General features: G+C 41.4%; 1 protein-coding gene across 1 annotated transcript in view, besides 1 other annotated feature; it reads left to right on the plus strand.

Annotated features, from left to right (window-relative positions):
- Window positions 6,734–7,235: an enhancer, noted in NCBI's record as "H3K27ac hESC enhancer chr1:169751147-169751648 (GRCh37/hg19 assembly coordinates)". NCBI's record gives its function as "activates a minimal SCP1, AML or CMV promoter by ChIP-STARR-seq in primed H9 embryonic stem cells {active_cell/tissue: H9 hESC(primed)}" and the evidence as "EXISTENCE:reporter gene assay evidence [ECO:0000049][PMID:30033119]".
- FIRRM (FIGNL1 interacting regulator of recombination and mitosis) overlaps window positions 8,565–16,407 on the plus strand; it is a 70,244-nt gene continuing 62,401 nt past the window's right edge. The window contains exons 1-2 of the mRNA XM_047424760.1: window positions 8,565–8,656; window positions 9,605–9,641. The gene's annotated coding sequence lies outside the window, so the exon portion shown is untranslated. The remainder of the gene's footprint in view (window positions 8,657–9,604; window positions 9,642–16,407) is intronic.

Consider the following 16,407-nt stretch of genomic DNA (forward strand, 5'->3'; position numbering starts at 1 on the left):
ATCAATTTGTCCAGCATAATTAGGCATGTGTACAAGGGTTTACACACAAGAATGCCTATTGCAATATTGCTTTTAATGCTAAAAAAAATTGGGGAAAATGCTTTAAAAATATAGATTAAGACTGTACATTGTGGTACAGTCATATAATCAATAGTATACAGCTATTATTTATTTTCAGCCACTGTCCAAAATATAGCCTGGCCTAACAACATTCTGTTAGGATACGCAAGCACCGTGAGGAGATCAGCTATAAAGTATCAGTGTTTCACACCACTGCTCCTTTGCTAATAACCTTCAATGGCTTTTAAAGAAGTAAAAAACAAAGGCAAAATTCCTTAGTCAGCCCTTAAGACTCTCTGTTACTTAGCTCAAACTACCCTTTTCAACAACACTGCCCTAACCAGGATGAGTTTTTTGCCCCCCTGGAGTACATTCAGCCTTTCCTTATCAAACCTTCCTTTAAATAAGTATCTTCTCCAGGACCACTTCACTTTCTTCCCCAATTTAGCATTTTCTATATCTCCAGGCCTACCTCTATAAAGCCTGTCCTAACCACTCAAACCCTAGCTTTTTCTCTGAACTGCTAGAAATATTTTTCTCTCATTGGCCATTTAGGTAAAAAGGTTTTTACTGTTTATTACCTACTCAATAAAAATTTTCTTTTTTTGAGACAAGGTCTTACTCTGTCGCCTAGAATGGGGGGAAGTGGTGTGATCACAACTCACTGCAGCTTCTACCTCCCAGCTCAACAGTCCTCCCACCTCAGCCTAGTGAGTAGCTGTGACTACAGGCATGTGCCACCATACCCCACTACTTTTCATTTTTTATTTTTTGTGAGATGGAATCTCACTATGTTACCCAGGCTGGTCTGCTGATCTCAATTGATCCTCCCACTGTGGCCTCCCAAAATGCTGGGATTACAGGCATGAGCCACAATATCTGGCCCCAGTAAGCTTTTAAGGCCATTAACATGAGGAACAGTGTTCTTTACACTATTTTATCAGCTAGGGCTTTGCATGGAGTAGGAGTTTAGTAAATGCGGTTGATGGGTTAATCAATGTGTGAAAATATTCAGAGCCACCAAAAACAGATATTATGTCTATTCTCATCAACAATCAAAATTGAGTAAACAGCCATTTTCTAATACAGGAAACCACAAAACATTGAATGGTGACATTAAAAAATTCCCCCAGCAGGAGCCAACCAATTTTTTCATCCTGATCCAAGTTAGCAAACTGCAAAAGATAGGAAGCACTAATGAGTGGAAATTTGAGTAGAAGCATTTCTTATGAAGGCTGTCTTGACTGGATCACATTTTTATTGCTGTTGGAGGTGCCAAATGTGTGTGTTTATGCTAATCCTCCACCTCAGGCAACACACAGTCAAGGATCCTACCAAGTGTTACCGTCAAGTGTCTGTTGGCAGCTCAAGGCCCCAGCGTTGTTCCCTTGCACTAGGGAAAAGACATATTCCAGGTACAAGTACTCCCACTTTGATGCTACAGAGGAGTTGCTGAACTTTGTGTCATTAATCTCTCTTCGTTAGATCCCAACCCTGTTTAAATCCCACTATCTGCCTACTCTGGGTCTTCACCAATTTACTAGATCATAGTTGGAGAAAATCTACAAAGCCTTGCTCCCTTTAGATTTAAACAGGTCTCCGTTTAAATTTAGAATTGCTAACTTCAAGCGGGCCCTTATGCGACAGTATGCCTGTCAGTCATACTACATTTCCTCAATTCCATTCATGTGACTGCTCCATACCCTTCCCTCTCTCTTCATACTACTATTATCTCTTCCCCCCTCCCTCATTTTTAACTGATGATCTTGTTTCCTATTTCTCTGAGAAAATAGAAGCCATCAAAAGAGAGTTTCCACAAACTCCTACTGCCTTATCTAGCCCTGTACCATATACTTTGCATTTCCTCTCATTACCATGGATGTACTGCCTATCTGTGCTTCTATCTAAGGCTAACCCTTCCACTTCAGTTTTGAATATTATCAGCTCTTACCAACTCAAGGCCATTGCTCTAGCAATTCTCTCATTCTCTCTCATTTTCTTCCATCAAGTTTTCCTTTTCTTCAATTAACAGAGTAGCTCCTAAAGGGAAAAAAAAGTCTTCTTTTTCAATGCTCATCATCACTGGCCATCAGAGAAATGCAAATCAAAACCACAATGAGATATCATCTCACACCAGTTAGAATGGCAATCATTAAAAAGTCAGGAAACAACAGGTGCTGGAGAGGATGTGGAGAAATAGGAACACTTTTACACTGTTGGTGGGACTGTAAACTAGTTCAACCATTGTGGAAGACAGTGTGGCGATTCCTCAGGGATCTAGAATTAGAAATACCATTTGACCCAGCCATCCCATTACTGGGTATATACCCAAAGGATTATAAACAATGCTGCTATAAAGACACATGCACACGTATGTTTATTGTGGCACTACTCACAATAGCAAAGACTTGGAACCAACCCAAACGTCCAACAATGATAGACTGGATTAAGAAAATGTGGCACATATACACCATGGAATACTATGCAGCCATAAAAAATGATGAGTTCATGTCCTTTGTAGGGACATGGAGGAAGCTGGAAACCATCACTCTCAGCAAACTATCACAAGGACAAAAAACCAAACACTGCATGTTCTCACTCATAGGTGGGAATTGAACAATGAGAACACTTGGACACAGGAAGGGGAACATCACCCACTGGGGCCTGTTGTGGGATGAGGGGAGTGGGGAGGGATAGCATTAGGAGATATACCTAATGTTAAATGATGAGTTAATGGGTGCAGCACACCAACATAGCACATGTATACATATGTAACAAACCTGCACGTTGTGCACATGTACCCTAAAACTTAAAGTATAATAAAAAAATATATATATATATATAAAACAACTAAAAATAAATCTTCTTTTTCTGCAGGATCAGTCCATCACCACACACACAGGCTGTGTTTTATGTTGTTCCCCAGCTTAAGAGATCGTTCTCCAGATCCCACTGCTCCTTCCAGTTGTCACCTCAGTTCTCCACTTCTTTTTGCTGATAAACTACTCTAACTAGTTACATATGATTTCTGTCCCCAGGTCCCCTCCCTCAGTTGTTTTGAACATAATCATTTATATCATTTATCATTTTCACTCTAATTGCACAACCAAAAACTCCCTTTTTTTTTAGATGGAGTCTCACTCTGTCACCTAGGCTGGAGTGCAGTGGCATGATCTCGGCTCACTCCAACCTCCGCCTCACGGGTTCAAGTGATCCCCCTGCCTTAGCCTCCTGAATAGCTGGGATTATACACATGCACCACCACACCTGGCTAATTGCTTTGTTTTTGTTTGTGTGTGTGTGTGTTTTTTTTTTTTTTTGGACAGAGTCTCACTCTGTTGCCCAGGCTAGACTGCAGTGGCATGATCTCAGCTCACTGCAACCTCCACCTCCTGGGTTCAAGCGATTCTCCTGCCTCAGCCTCCCGAGTAGCTGGGACTACAGGCATGCACCACCATGCCAGGCTAATTTTTTTGTATTTTCAGTAGAGACCAGGTTTCACCATGTTGGTCAGGCTGGTCTTGAACTCCTGACCTCAAATGATCTGCGCACCTGGACCTCCCAAAGTGCTGGGATTACAGACTTGAGCTACTGCGCCGGGCTATTTTGTGTTTTTAGTAAAGACGGGGTTTCACCATGTTGTCCAGGCTGGTCTCAAACTCCTGACCTCAAGTGATCCGCTCGCCTCAGGCCCTCAAAGTGCTGGGATTACAGGAGTGAGCCACCATGCCTGGCCATAAAACTGCCCTTTGTTAATATGACTGTTGGCCTGCACATTGTCAAATCCAGTGGCATTCATCTTACTCGGCCAACCTACGGCATTTGACACTGTCTGTCTTTCCTTCTGTTCCTCTATCTGTTTCCAGTATACTGGCCTGGCTTTCTTTTTACCTCTTTTATATGCTCTTCCAGTCTCAGGCTCCTTTGGGGATTTGAAGGTATGTTGCATTTTGCTATTCAATGAATAATGACAAGTAATGATCACTTAAGACATTAAGTGGTCAGTTCCTTTACTAGGATAAAAATAATTTTCTTCCCAACATGGGGCATATTCCATTTCCAGTCTGACTGTTCTGTGTAATCTTTGTATTCCTTGGCAGCCCCTTTTATATCAGTTCATCTACTGTGCAGGAAATTGGACAAACATTTGCACTGGTATAACCAAATACAGTTGAACTTTTGGCTTGACTCTTAGCTGAACTCACCAAAAATAATTTCTGTAAGAGACTGAGACGTCTACGAGTAGGTTTTTCAGAATTAGTAAACATAAATCAAGGATACACAGGTAGATTTGAATTTCAGATAAACAACAAATACTTTTTTAGTATGTCTACTGAAATATTTGTATCTTATCTGGCAATTCTACCTGGTACAGAACTAATCCATTCTCTTGAAAGATCTTGACTCTGTAATAAGTTCTTTGGTGATGGAAGGGAGGTATTTCTGTAATTAGAGTCACTGTCTTCCTCCCAGTTTTTTATCCTGGCCCAGATCTGCAATGAACACACGACAGAATCCAGGGGGGATGAAGATGGGTGCTTTGCAGGAAAAAAAAATTAAAAACATCTGAAAAAGCTTTTGTACTAAAAGAATGTGATCTAAAAAAGAAAGCAGGAGAACTTTCTGTCTGCACTTTACATCAGAACAACCTTGGCGTCTAGAAGCTGTGCCCTGTGGGAAGTGGTGGTGCTTGGTAAGAGATGCCAGGACCAGTGGTACCCACTGGGAGCACTGCCAATACCCAGCAAGGAGCATGGGTGCACAGTAAGGCATTGCACTGTGATTCAGCATAAAATAACAATAAGGGAACGTCACGGAGAAAAGGCCAGACTTCCTTTGTTTAGAATGTGGGAAATGTCTTCTGAAAAATGGTAGTAAAAAAGCATGCTTGGATGGTCCACTCCAGGCAAAACTGACTAATCGGGGGTCAGGGATACAACCCCTGCATCATATGTTTGTTTCTGTTGGGCTGACATGAGGTTCACTGTGACCACTGTGGTTTAACCCCATAGTCTCCTGGAAATACAGCCAGGTCAAGAGAGCTCCACATAAAACATAATCAAAAAAATAAACTCAAGTTTCCACTGATCAGCTTTTCACAACTCTTATCCTTTCACTAACTTTGGAGCAAGATTTGAGAATTGGATGGCTATTTGAGGGCTATTTCTGCGCTTTAGTTCAATGTTTTGTTCTTTCTTTATTAGAGAACTATGGTTTTTTATTATATTTACACTTTAAGTTCTAGGGTACATGTGCACAACGTGCAGATTTGTTACACAGGTATAAATGTGCCATGTTGGTTTGCTGCACCCATCAACTCGTCATTTACATTAGGTATTTCTCCTAATGCTATCCCTCCCCCAGTCCCCCACCCCCCGACAGGCCCTGGTGTGTGATGTTCCCCTTCCTGTGTCCAAGTGTTCTGTTTATGTGATAGATTACGTTTATTGATTTGTGTATGTTGAACCAGCCTTGCATCACAGTCACTTGCTTACAAGAAACAAACACTTCACAGATGGATCATTATGTGTGATAAGTGAAATCCAAGGATTTATGCTCAGAGGTGGGCTTAACAGGTAGGAAGAGCAGTATTTTCCTTCAACCATGAGTGTATGCAGGTTTTTCTTTTCTTTTTTGAGATGGAGTCTCACTCTTTTACCCAGGCTGGCGCGCAGTGGTGCGATCTTGGCTCACTGTAACCTCTGCCACCTGGGTTCAAGCAATTCTCCTGCCTCAGCCTCCCAAGTGGCTGGGATTACAGGCACCTGCCACTGTCTCCGGCTAATTTTTGTCTTTTTAGTAGAGATGGGGTTTCACCATCTTGGCCAGCCTTGTCTTGAACTCCTGACCTCATGAATCATCCTTCTCAGCCTCCCAAAGTGCTGGGATTACAGGCATGAGCCACTGCGCCCAGCCCACAGGTTTTTCAAAGACTAAACTTAAAAAAAAAAAAAAAATTTCCCAATGAAATATAAAACTAAAGTGCTAAACTGTGATAGACTGTTTTACAAGAATGCCAGTTTTCACAAGTGTCTATAGAACATGTAATTTAGATAGGTAAGATGAAATTTTGATAATATTTGATGGCAAATTTAAACAGGTATACAACAAAAATAAAATTCTAAGCCCCTCAACCAACTGAATGGACTCCTTCTCTCAGCCAAAGGAATACCAAAGTAAACCTGAAAAACTAGTTTTGGCCAGGATTGGGGGTAGGTGGGGGAAGCCCAACATGACTCATTATTCTCTCCTCCCTTTGGAATTCAGGCACAACTGAATGTCAGCATTGACACTAAAACACAGATCTTAAGACTGACAAGCCAGACTCTTTGTAGCAGAGAGCCAGGCCCTGGAAGAAATCAAGTTATTTTATCCCAAAAAATATTTCTTTGATATATTTTCAAATGGCCCTGCAAAGCTGTCTCTTGTGGGGAAAATTGACATGCTGTACAGAATTTCCTTCTCTTTCCAAGTTTTTACTGATCCAGGAGAGATTTAACTAAGAGGCTAGCATGTTTTTTTTTTTTTTTTTTTGAGGCGGAGTCTTGCTCTGTTGCCCAGGCTGGAGTGCAGTGGCGTGATCTCAGCTCACTGCAACCTTCGCCTCCCGGGTTCAAGCGATTCTCCTGCCTCAGCTTCCCGAGTAGCTGGGATTACAGATCCATGCCACTATGCCCAGCTAATTTTTGTATTTTTTGTAGAGACAGGGTTTCACCATGTTGGCCAGGCTAGTATTGAACTCCTGACCTCGTGATCCGCCCACCTCGGCCTCCCAAAGTGCTGGCATTACAGGCGTGAGCCACCGTGCCCAGCACAAGACATTTACCGTCTATTCTCTCTGAAGCTACTATCTAGAGGCTTCATCAACATAATAAGACCCTTGGTCTCCACAACTCCTTATCTTATCCTATTAGTTTCTACTGATTCCAGGTCTTTAGATAATAACAACTCTTTCAACCAATTGCCAATCAGAAAGTCTTTGAATCCACCTATGACTTAAAAGCCCCACTCCTTCAAGTTATCCCGCCTTTCTGGACTGAACCAATGTACACCTTATATGTGTTGATGGATATCTGCCTGTAACTTCCATTCCCCTAAAATGTATAACATCAAGCTGTAACCCAACCACCTTGGGCACATGTTTTCAGGAACTCATGAGACTGTGTTGCAGACCTTGGTCACTCATATTTGGCTCACAGTAAACTTCTTTAAATATTGTATAGAGTTTGGCTTTTTTCATTGACACAGGAAAAATAAAGAATTGGAAGGTCTTTCATCAGTCACTGAGCCAGCTTCATATCTGACTGAGGTCATACAGTTCAGTGATTTGTAGCTTTGCTACTTAGATTGCTATCCATTATCTAGAAGCATCAGGATCACGTGGGACCTATTGGAAATGCAGACTTTCCTCCTAGAACCCAGGACCTTGGAATATTCTTGGCACATAGTAGGTGCTCAATACATATTGAACTCCTAGGTGCAATTCATTAATTCATGAATTAATGAATTAACACGCTCTCAAAGTTTAGTGCTTTTTCACAGACTAGTCTTTCTGCCTCTTAAGCACTCAGCTCACCACGCTTCCAGTCTCACTCCCCTATTAGTCTGATTAAAATCTGCTTACATGTGAGTCTGAGATCAAGTGTTATCTCTTCTGAGAAGTCTTCCCTCACTGGCCCAAAGGAATTTCTCCTCTATTTTAGCACTGTCCCAGTTGACTTGTCATTATTCTAGTCTTTTTCATATTAGTTGTTTTTCATATATATGTTATTAAGGAAACTAGTCATTTCCCCTAATAGAACAAAATTGCTGGCCTTTGGGGTTGGCAATGGAGGGGAGGCTCTTCTTGAAAAGGGGGAAGAGTGTTCTCCTAATATTTTTCTTACGAGATTTATGTTGCTCATCTTTAGCCTTTAGTCCCCCATTGCCTGCCTACAGTTGGCAGAGACCATCTGTTCTCTCACTGTCAGGAACTGTCTCAATTCTTGAAGTTCAGAGTCAAAAAAGAAGCAAGTTTTCCTAGCTCTTTGATCAACTTTCAAAGTTTTACTTCCATTTGAAAATTTACTAAGTCACCAGGAGATGGTTTATACTGAGAAATATCCACTCATACTCTTCCTCTTCAACTTTCTTCCATATACACCCTATTACAGGGATATAGTCTTACTCTATAGCTCAAAAGGATGACCCTATCAGAAACCTGCACAGTATGTAAAACATTCTCACCAGAGGTTCACTTGTGTATTTCCACCCTAGAATGGAAGCTCTACAAAAGCACAGAATGTATCATTTTAACTTTAGATTCTATTTTCACACCCAGTGCTTGACACATGATTTGAAGTTAATATTTATTTATCAAGTGATTGTTTTAAAATCATGACTCACTCAACAAAGTTATAAGAATAAGAATAGTGTTACAGAATTGGTATACACAAGCTGACCATAATCAACACACCTATTATCATTTTTTTGCGACAGGTTCTCGCTGTCTCACCCTGGCTGGAGTGGAGTGGCATGACCACGGTTCACTGCAGGTTTGAACTTCCAGGCTCAAGCAATCCTCCCACCTCAGCCTCCCACATAGCTGAGCCCACAGGTGTGTGCCACCATGTCCAGCTAACTTTTTAATTCTTTGTAGAGACAGGGTCACCCTATGTTGCCCAAGCTGGTCTTGAACTCCTTGGCTAGAGAGATCCTCCCTCCAAGGTCCCCCAAAATGCTGGGATCTCAGGCAAGAGCCACCATGCCTGGCCATAATCAATACACTTTTAAGAATGCTAGAATGTTATATCAGATGCATACTTCAGCACTATCTCAAGCAAACTGGGGTGTGGGTTATTCTACATATAAAGTTCAGCAGTGTTGTTCCACAGTCCCAAACTCCAACTGAGGTCAAATGTAGGGTGCAGCAAGGTCACTGGGGCTGTCATCAAGGGCCTCTCCTTGCACTCTTGCCAACCCTGTTTCTTGATTGTCTCTACCACCATGAGTCACCAGCAATCTCCCACAGTCACTTGTTTAAAAGTTCACAAGTATTGTGTGAATTGCAGGCAACCCCTTGACTCCCTGATTGCCTGGTCTTCTTCCTTGGGCTCTACCATTTTTTTTCCCCAGCACTCTTTCTGCTGCTCTAAATTTTAATTCATGCAATTCCATATGTGTTTCTCTATCATTCTTCATCTCTTTCCTCTCCCTTCCATCCAATTTTGTTTGTCTGTTTGCTTGCTTGCTTGCTTTAATACATTTCTCTTTTTCTGAGAAGGCTTGAGTCCAAAACTCTCAGTTACCTGTTGTTCTGTTTCCCGTTAGTTAATCTCCGAACCTTCATAAATTAAATCTGACAAAGTCCCCTGACTAACAAAGGAAATGCACAAGTCACAGTAAAAGGGGCACACACAGAACACAAATAGACCCAGGGTCTTTTCTGTTCATCACTCAGCTTTTTATAGGAGATCCAGGAGAAATGAAGTGGAAAGGGAAGTGTGTTGAGTTACTATACAACACAAGAGTAAACTTTCTTATAAGTGGTAATTTTTTTTTACAGGAATAATTGAAAATGGAAATTACCTTCTCTACTCATAGTAAGTACTCAGTGCGTTCTTGATGGGATGAGAATGTGTTTGAGCTTTAGTGTAAGGCAGAATTCTGTTTAGTCTGCCAGTATTGGAGAAAAATAAAACACAAAGGGACTGACATGTAGGAAGTGGCACCTGGGAGGGTCTCAATTCTTCCTATTACAAAAATGCCCCAGAGAAATAAAAAGCTTGTGTACATGTTGAGATGGGAGAGTTCTCTGGCCCCCCTCGCAGGATGTGTGACAGTGGGGTGGCTCTCTGCTGCGCCACCATGAGCTCAAACCCCTCATAGGAGGGGGAGCACACAGGCAGGAAGGTGCAGGAGCTGGGCGAGCTCTTTGGGCTCTGGCCCCGTGGTACTGTCTAGAGGTGGGTGCCTGCAACTCCTGAAAGCCCAAGTGGGCATGTGTTACAGTGCACTCTTTCAGCTTTGCTGTCTGCAGCTTAAGCGTTAACCAGCTCAGTTTCTTCTTGGTACCCAGGTCCTTGTCTGGCATCCAGGAAGAATCAGGTTACACATGGACTTGAAGGATGAATGTGGGAGTTTTATGGAGTGGTGGAGGTGGCTCTCAGTGGGATGGATGGGGAGCTGGAAGGGGGATGGAGTGGGAAGATGATATTCTCCTGGAGTTTGGCTGTCCAGCAGCCGATCTCCTCTCCAGTCGTCCCCAGCCTCTCGACGTTCAGATGCTCCTCTTCTCTCCTTCTCTGCCATGCTGTTCTGCCGTTCATCTGCCTGTCTCTCTCTGGAGCCTGGAATTTGGGGTTTATATGGTACACAATAAGGGGCATGGCAGGCCAAAAGGGAACTTTTTAGGTGCAAAAAACAGGAATGCCTCTTCTCACTTAGGGCTATAGATTTTCAGGCTTGAAGGTGGGGCCTTTACCAGCGAACCTGTATTTCCCTGTCTCCTGTGCATATCAATGTAATCAAATACTGGGCTGATCCAGGATGTTTCTTTAGACCAATTATGGGTAAAATAATTTACATTCAGGTTTTTATATTTGCTTTTGTCATTTCTTTTTAAGCAATCATGTAAAATATCTATACGACAGTAATAGATGATAGCGAACCTAATTAAAATTACCAGAAACTTAAGAATCTCTAATGATTTCAACTGTAACTAAGGTTATTTCTCTTTATGTTGAACAATGTTGGGAGATAAGACACAAGAGTTTCTGAAGTATTTCAGAAACACAAAGAGGGAGGTTATATAAATAATATTTTTTTCCTACTTTGGGAAAATGAAAGCTAGTCACAAAGTTAAACGAGTGGTTATTTTAATATTTAAAATACAGGCTTGGATGTATTTCCTGTTAAAGAAAATAAAATGCAGAATATTCAAAACGTCTGACCACCCTTCTAAGAAAATGCATCTCTGAGGTATTTTTCCTTAGAAGTTATTGTAAAAATCCTGGAGAAGCTTGAACACAGCAAAGCAAACAGGATGCAGAGTTTAATCTGTGGAAAGCTTAGGGAAGAAAAGCAAATCATTAAAAATAGGTCTTCCTCTGAAGATTTTTAAAACGCAAAGAGGGTGGAATAGCAATGATAATAAAAAAGCTGGCATAGAGAGTGGCACAATTTGCTGTGCCACTGAGCTGACTGGATGTGTTCTGAATTTCTAGGCATTAGTGTACCTTTCCACACGCATTCTCCCTTTAAAAAAAATGCCCACACACTGAATACTTTTTTCATGCAATTTAAAATAAGCGCACCATCTAGTTTACAGAAATTCACTAGAAGTTATTTATCCTAAAATAGCAGAGATCTAGAAGAATTTTGAGCTCTAGGACATTTTAGACACACAGAAAGAAGAATCTGGACAAGTCTTGACCAGACATGACAGAATAGAAATTTCTTTTCCTATTTATCTCTTTGAATAAAATTTTCAGGATCTTACAGTGGACAAGTTTGTTATCTACACATTGTGAAGCACATTGATTTCTCCTCTGTAGCCTTAGGAAGATCTGAGAGGTGACTGAGCTGATTGAATGATCCGTGACCGCTCTACTGGGACCAGTAGTAGAACTTTACTGGTGGAGACCTGCTGGAGGTTTGAGAGCAGACTTTGAAAATTACTAGAGCTACACAGATACTGTGTGGCTAACTGGATTATGTTTAGAGGCTTTCAGAACTATGCTGCTGCTGCTGCAGTGTAGCCAGGACGCACAGAGAACATCTAAGGCTCTTGAATGGGGCGATAGGGACAGATTTCAGCAGCCATCTGACTTCAGTGCTCATTTTGATGCTTTCCCTGCAGGGTGCAGTGTGCAGTGTGCAGTGTGCAGTGGTGGGAGGCTCACACAGGAATACTTGCTTCTGTAGCCCTAATTTCCGGTTCAAACTCTGCATTCACCTTGACAGATTCTTTCCTTGGCCAAAATTTAGTTAGGCTTCTGGGCTTTCTCTTATGCCCACCTGCAGACTTTTTGGTAAAATCCAGTTTTAGTAAAGAGCTCTGCTAAGTCAGTTTAGCAAGAATCCCCACCTCAAAAGTCACTATCTCCCTCCCTGGTAGTGTCTGGCTTGTCTTCAGCGAGAATTCTATTAGGTTCTGTTAGATTAGAATCCTCCTTACCCTTGATGCTTCCTCTTAGTATTTTTTCATCCACTGACTCCTTGACCCACCTTGCTCCTCGGCTATAAATTCCCACTTGCCCATACTCTGCAGTTAAGACTATTTTCTCCCCACTACTGCAAAATCCCATTGCCATGGTCCCTATACTATCTCAATGGTAATGAATAAAGTCTGCCTTACCATGCTTTAACAAGTAACATTGAACCATTTTTTTCTTTAACAATCTGCTGCACAATGAGATTACTAAAACTTTATTCCATTTTGCCATGCTGGATGTCCTCAATGGAATGGCTCTTGTGAGCACCAAATCATTGTGAGAAGGAAAACCCATCTCTTACAGCCCCCTGTAACGTGATGTATGTTACATGTGATGTATGTTACATAGTTTTTTTTCATGTTGATCACTTTTTGCCCATTTTCCTATATCTTATCAGTTGGAAGACTGTGGAAGTTTGTAGTACTAAGCCACAAGATGACTAAGAAGAGTTGAAAGGGCAAGTGGGGCTAAAAACAGATTTTGTTTGACTTACCCCACCATTCCCCCTATCATGGGGCTGAATCTGCCTGGAGGAAGGAGCATCTTTATCTTTGTACTGTGAACCACACAGTCTAGCAGCAGCACAGCCAAGGCACTTGGGGTTTCATGAGACTAAGTACATGCAATTCTATTGTAAAGGCTTAAAATATATACAACTGACCCTTGAACAACATGAATTTGAATTGCATGGTCAGTTATACGCAGATTTTCTTCCACCTCTGCCACCCCTGAGACAGTAAGATCAATCAATCCTCTTCCTCCTACTCCTCAGTCTACTCAAAGATACTTGAAGTCTACTTGAAGATGACAAGCACAAAGACATTTATGATGATCCACTTCCACTTAGTGAATAGTAAATATGTTTTCTCTTCCTCCTAATTTTTTAACACTTTCTTCTCTCTAGCTTAATTTATTGTTAAGAATACAATCTATAATACATATGACATACAAAATATGTCTTAGTTGACTGTTTATGTTATCTGTAAGGCTTCAGGTCAAGAGTATGCTATTAGTGGTTAAGTTTTCGAGGAGTCAAAAGGTGTATGTGGACTTTCAACTGCAGGGGGGTGGGCACCCCTGCCCCCATGTTGTTCAAGGGTCAACTTTACTGCCAAAGGCAAGCCTTTACATCCACTTTTTCCATCCCATCAGTAAATGGAAAAAGATAGCTACAGTATCCCTGCGTCAAATCTTTTTTTTTGCAGATCACAAATTGGCCACTCACCTTGCTCTGTGAGGGGTAAAATGCCCCACTTTCTTTAGTAATATTTAAGTTAGATAATATTTAAGTTATAAAGTTGTTCTTTGTAATCGTTAATTGTAATTTTTACATAGTTTCTTTCAAACAGAAATAGCATTTTTGTTAGATAACCTCCCGTATAGATGATGAAACTCCTTTTAAGGGCTATCTGAATTTTAATTCCTTGAAAAGGCAGAAATTGGATAGCTAGTAGTCATAAATGTACTGTGGCTTCCCCCAACCATCTGGGCTATATAGAAGCTGCATCCTTGGACTGCAGTAGAGGAGTCTTACAAAGCACAGAGCAACTTCTCTCCTGGGTTGCGCTAGTTATGATGGCAATTTTAAATGTGTACTTTTACCCAAAGAAAATCCTTATTATCAACAATCACAATGCCATCATAACCATGGTATAAAAAATTCAAAATGTCCCAGCTGAAGTGGAGGCAAAGACTCAAGTTCATGGAGTCAGAGTTTCCTTGCTATTCCTCTTTTTCAAATGACCATTTAGTAAGCACCTGAAGAAAATACTATGGACGGCATTGAAAAGTGAAGATAGGTTTAATCTTCTCGAAAATCTAATTCTCCAGATGAAACGCTGACACTTATCCACCCCACAGACCCTATAGCAGATGTGTCACTGGCCATCACATTTGACACAGAGAAGTCATAACTCAGTCAGCACAGAGACATTTCCATGAGTTTCTGAACCATGGACAGAACGTCGTCTGTGGGACATGAAAACTGGAACTTAGAGGACAGGCACATCTGAGAAATGGGCAGTTTAAAGGCAGAACATAGCACATATGTGACTGGGTTTTAGAAGCAAATTTACAAGACGCACTCTTCTTCATCCTAAATAATCTGCAACCAAAGCTTCCAAAAAAGACAATTTAGGAATGCAGAGGTGAGGAGTAGGGAGGGGAATGGGATGAGAGAGAGTGGAGATTAATGGTGGGCAGAGCGAGGTTTAGAACTTAGTGGTTTCTTCAGGTTCTGAACTGAAATTTGTATACTGTAAAGGCACAAACACCATTTTTAACAAAAGTGAGCAGGACTTCCTATCTGGTTCAGAAAATAGGTGAATAAATAGTACGAATTATTAAAAATAATAATTTCCACTTATACATAGGAAACTTGATAGGAACCATGATAAATGCTTAACTCTTAATCTTCAAGGAACTCTGCTAGGGATATAATATTATAAATCTTGTTTTGCAGATGGAGAAATTGAATTTTAACCCAAGTTATCATAACCCTTAAATGATTAAATGATACTGTTACATGAGAAAGCTGCGTATCTGTTTCCTGGATTTGTAGCCATAATTTGTGTCTCAAGTCCCTTTTGCTGCCAGCTATCTTGGGTAGGTGTGTTCCCTTTGGGCTGTTTGATACCCCCACATTTATCTTTTTTTTTTCTCTTTTTTTGTTGAGAGAGTCTTTCCCTGTTGCCTAGGCTGGAGGGCAATGGCGCGATCTCGGCTCACTGCAACCTCCGCCTCCTGGGTTCAAGTGCTTCTCACGATTCTCTTGTCCCAGCCTCTCTAATAGCTCGGATTACTGGCATGCACCACCACGCCCACCTAATTTTGTATTTTTAGTAGACAAGGGGTTTCTCCATGTTGGTCAGGGTGGTCTCAAACTCCTGACCTCAGGTGATCTGCCTGCCTTGGCCTCCCAAAGTGCTGGGATTACAGGTGTGAGCCACCATGCCTGGCCCCAAATTTATCTTTAATGCCCCAAATTATCTAGTTCCCATGACTGGGCTTCTGCTTTGATCCTTTCTGCACTTGCTGGACCCTCTCCCTGGGAAATGAGATTGTGTCCTGAGCCCCTAGTTAGAGGCTATGTCTCTGCTGTTCCTGAATGGGCCTCCTGGATGAGACCTCATTAAAAGTCTAATTCTCTTGGAGAATTGAGAGATACCTATTTGTCTCAAAATCATTGAAACCAATTAATGTATTATGAGCCTCTATCCAGTGATTTGTACCTCAATTCCCCAATCCAGCTGTCAAGGCCAATTTGTTCTACCTTACCTAGTAGGTAAGTCTGGAATTGTAGCTGTGGCATTTTCAGTAATGGTACTCTAGGTTAGCAGTCCCCAACCTTTTTGGCACCAGGGACCAGTTTTGTGGAAGACAATTTTTCCATGAAGGGCTGGGCAGGGGAGTGGTTTCAGGATGAAACTGTTCCACCTCAGATCATCAGGCATTAGATTCTCACAAGGAGTGCGCAAGCTAGATCCCTCACACATGCAGTTCACAATAGGGTGTGCACTCCCATGAGAATCTAACACCGCTGCTGATCTGACAGGAGACAGAGCTCAGGCAGTAATACTCATTTGCCTACCGCTCACCTCCTGCCGTGCAGCTCAGTTCCTAACAGGCCACGGACCAGTACTGGTCCACGGCGCAGGCATCAGGGACCCCTGTTGCTAGGTATAAGCATCTGGCTGCTGCATGTCTTCTGTGTAGCTACATCTGTATGTGTATCTGATGAGATATAAATTATTTGATTATAAATTACTTTCTTCATATTAGAGTTGTGAATGAGTATCACATATAATTATACATAAACTAGGAATATGCTTTTTAATAATGTATATAAGTAAGTTTCCTTAACTATGACTTTCATCTTAGCGTAGTAAGAGGGTGCTAAGAAATATTTGTGATGAAAATAGGCATTGGTAGAGTTGAGACCACTGGGTGATGAAAGAGTGTAAAGATTTTAAAGCCTTCAGATGCTGGTTCAAGGTGAGAAATGTGATTGGGAGCAAATCAATTAACTTCTTGAAGTCTTATAGGGCAGTTATGAATACTTAATGTTAACATATGTAAAGCTCTTCTGCCCTGTATACAGTAAATGCTAGTTAGCTATTATGATCACTACTAAAATGGGGATGACATAAACCTC

Source organism: Homo sapiens, chromosome 1 (genome assembly GCF_000001405.40).
Source record: "Homo sapiens chromosome 1, GRCh38.p14 Primary Assembly".
NCBI classification, from domain to species: Eukaryota; Metazoa; Chordata; class Mammalia; order Primates; family Hominidae; genus Homo; species Homo sapiens.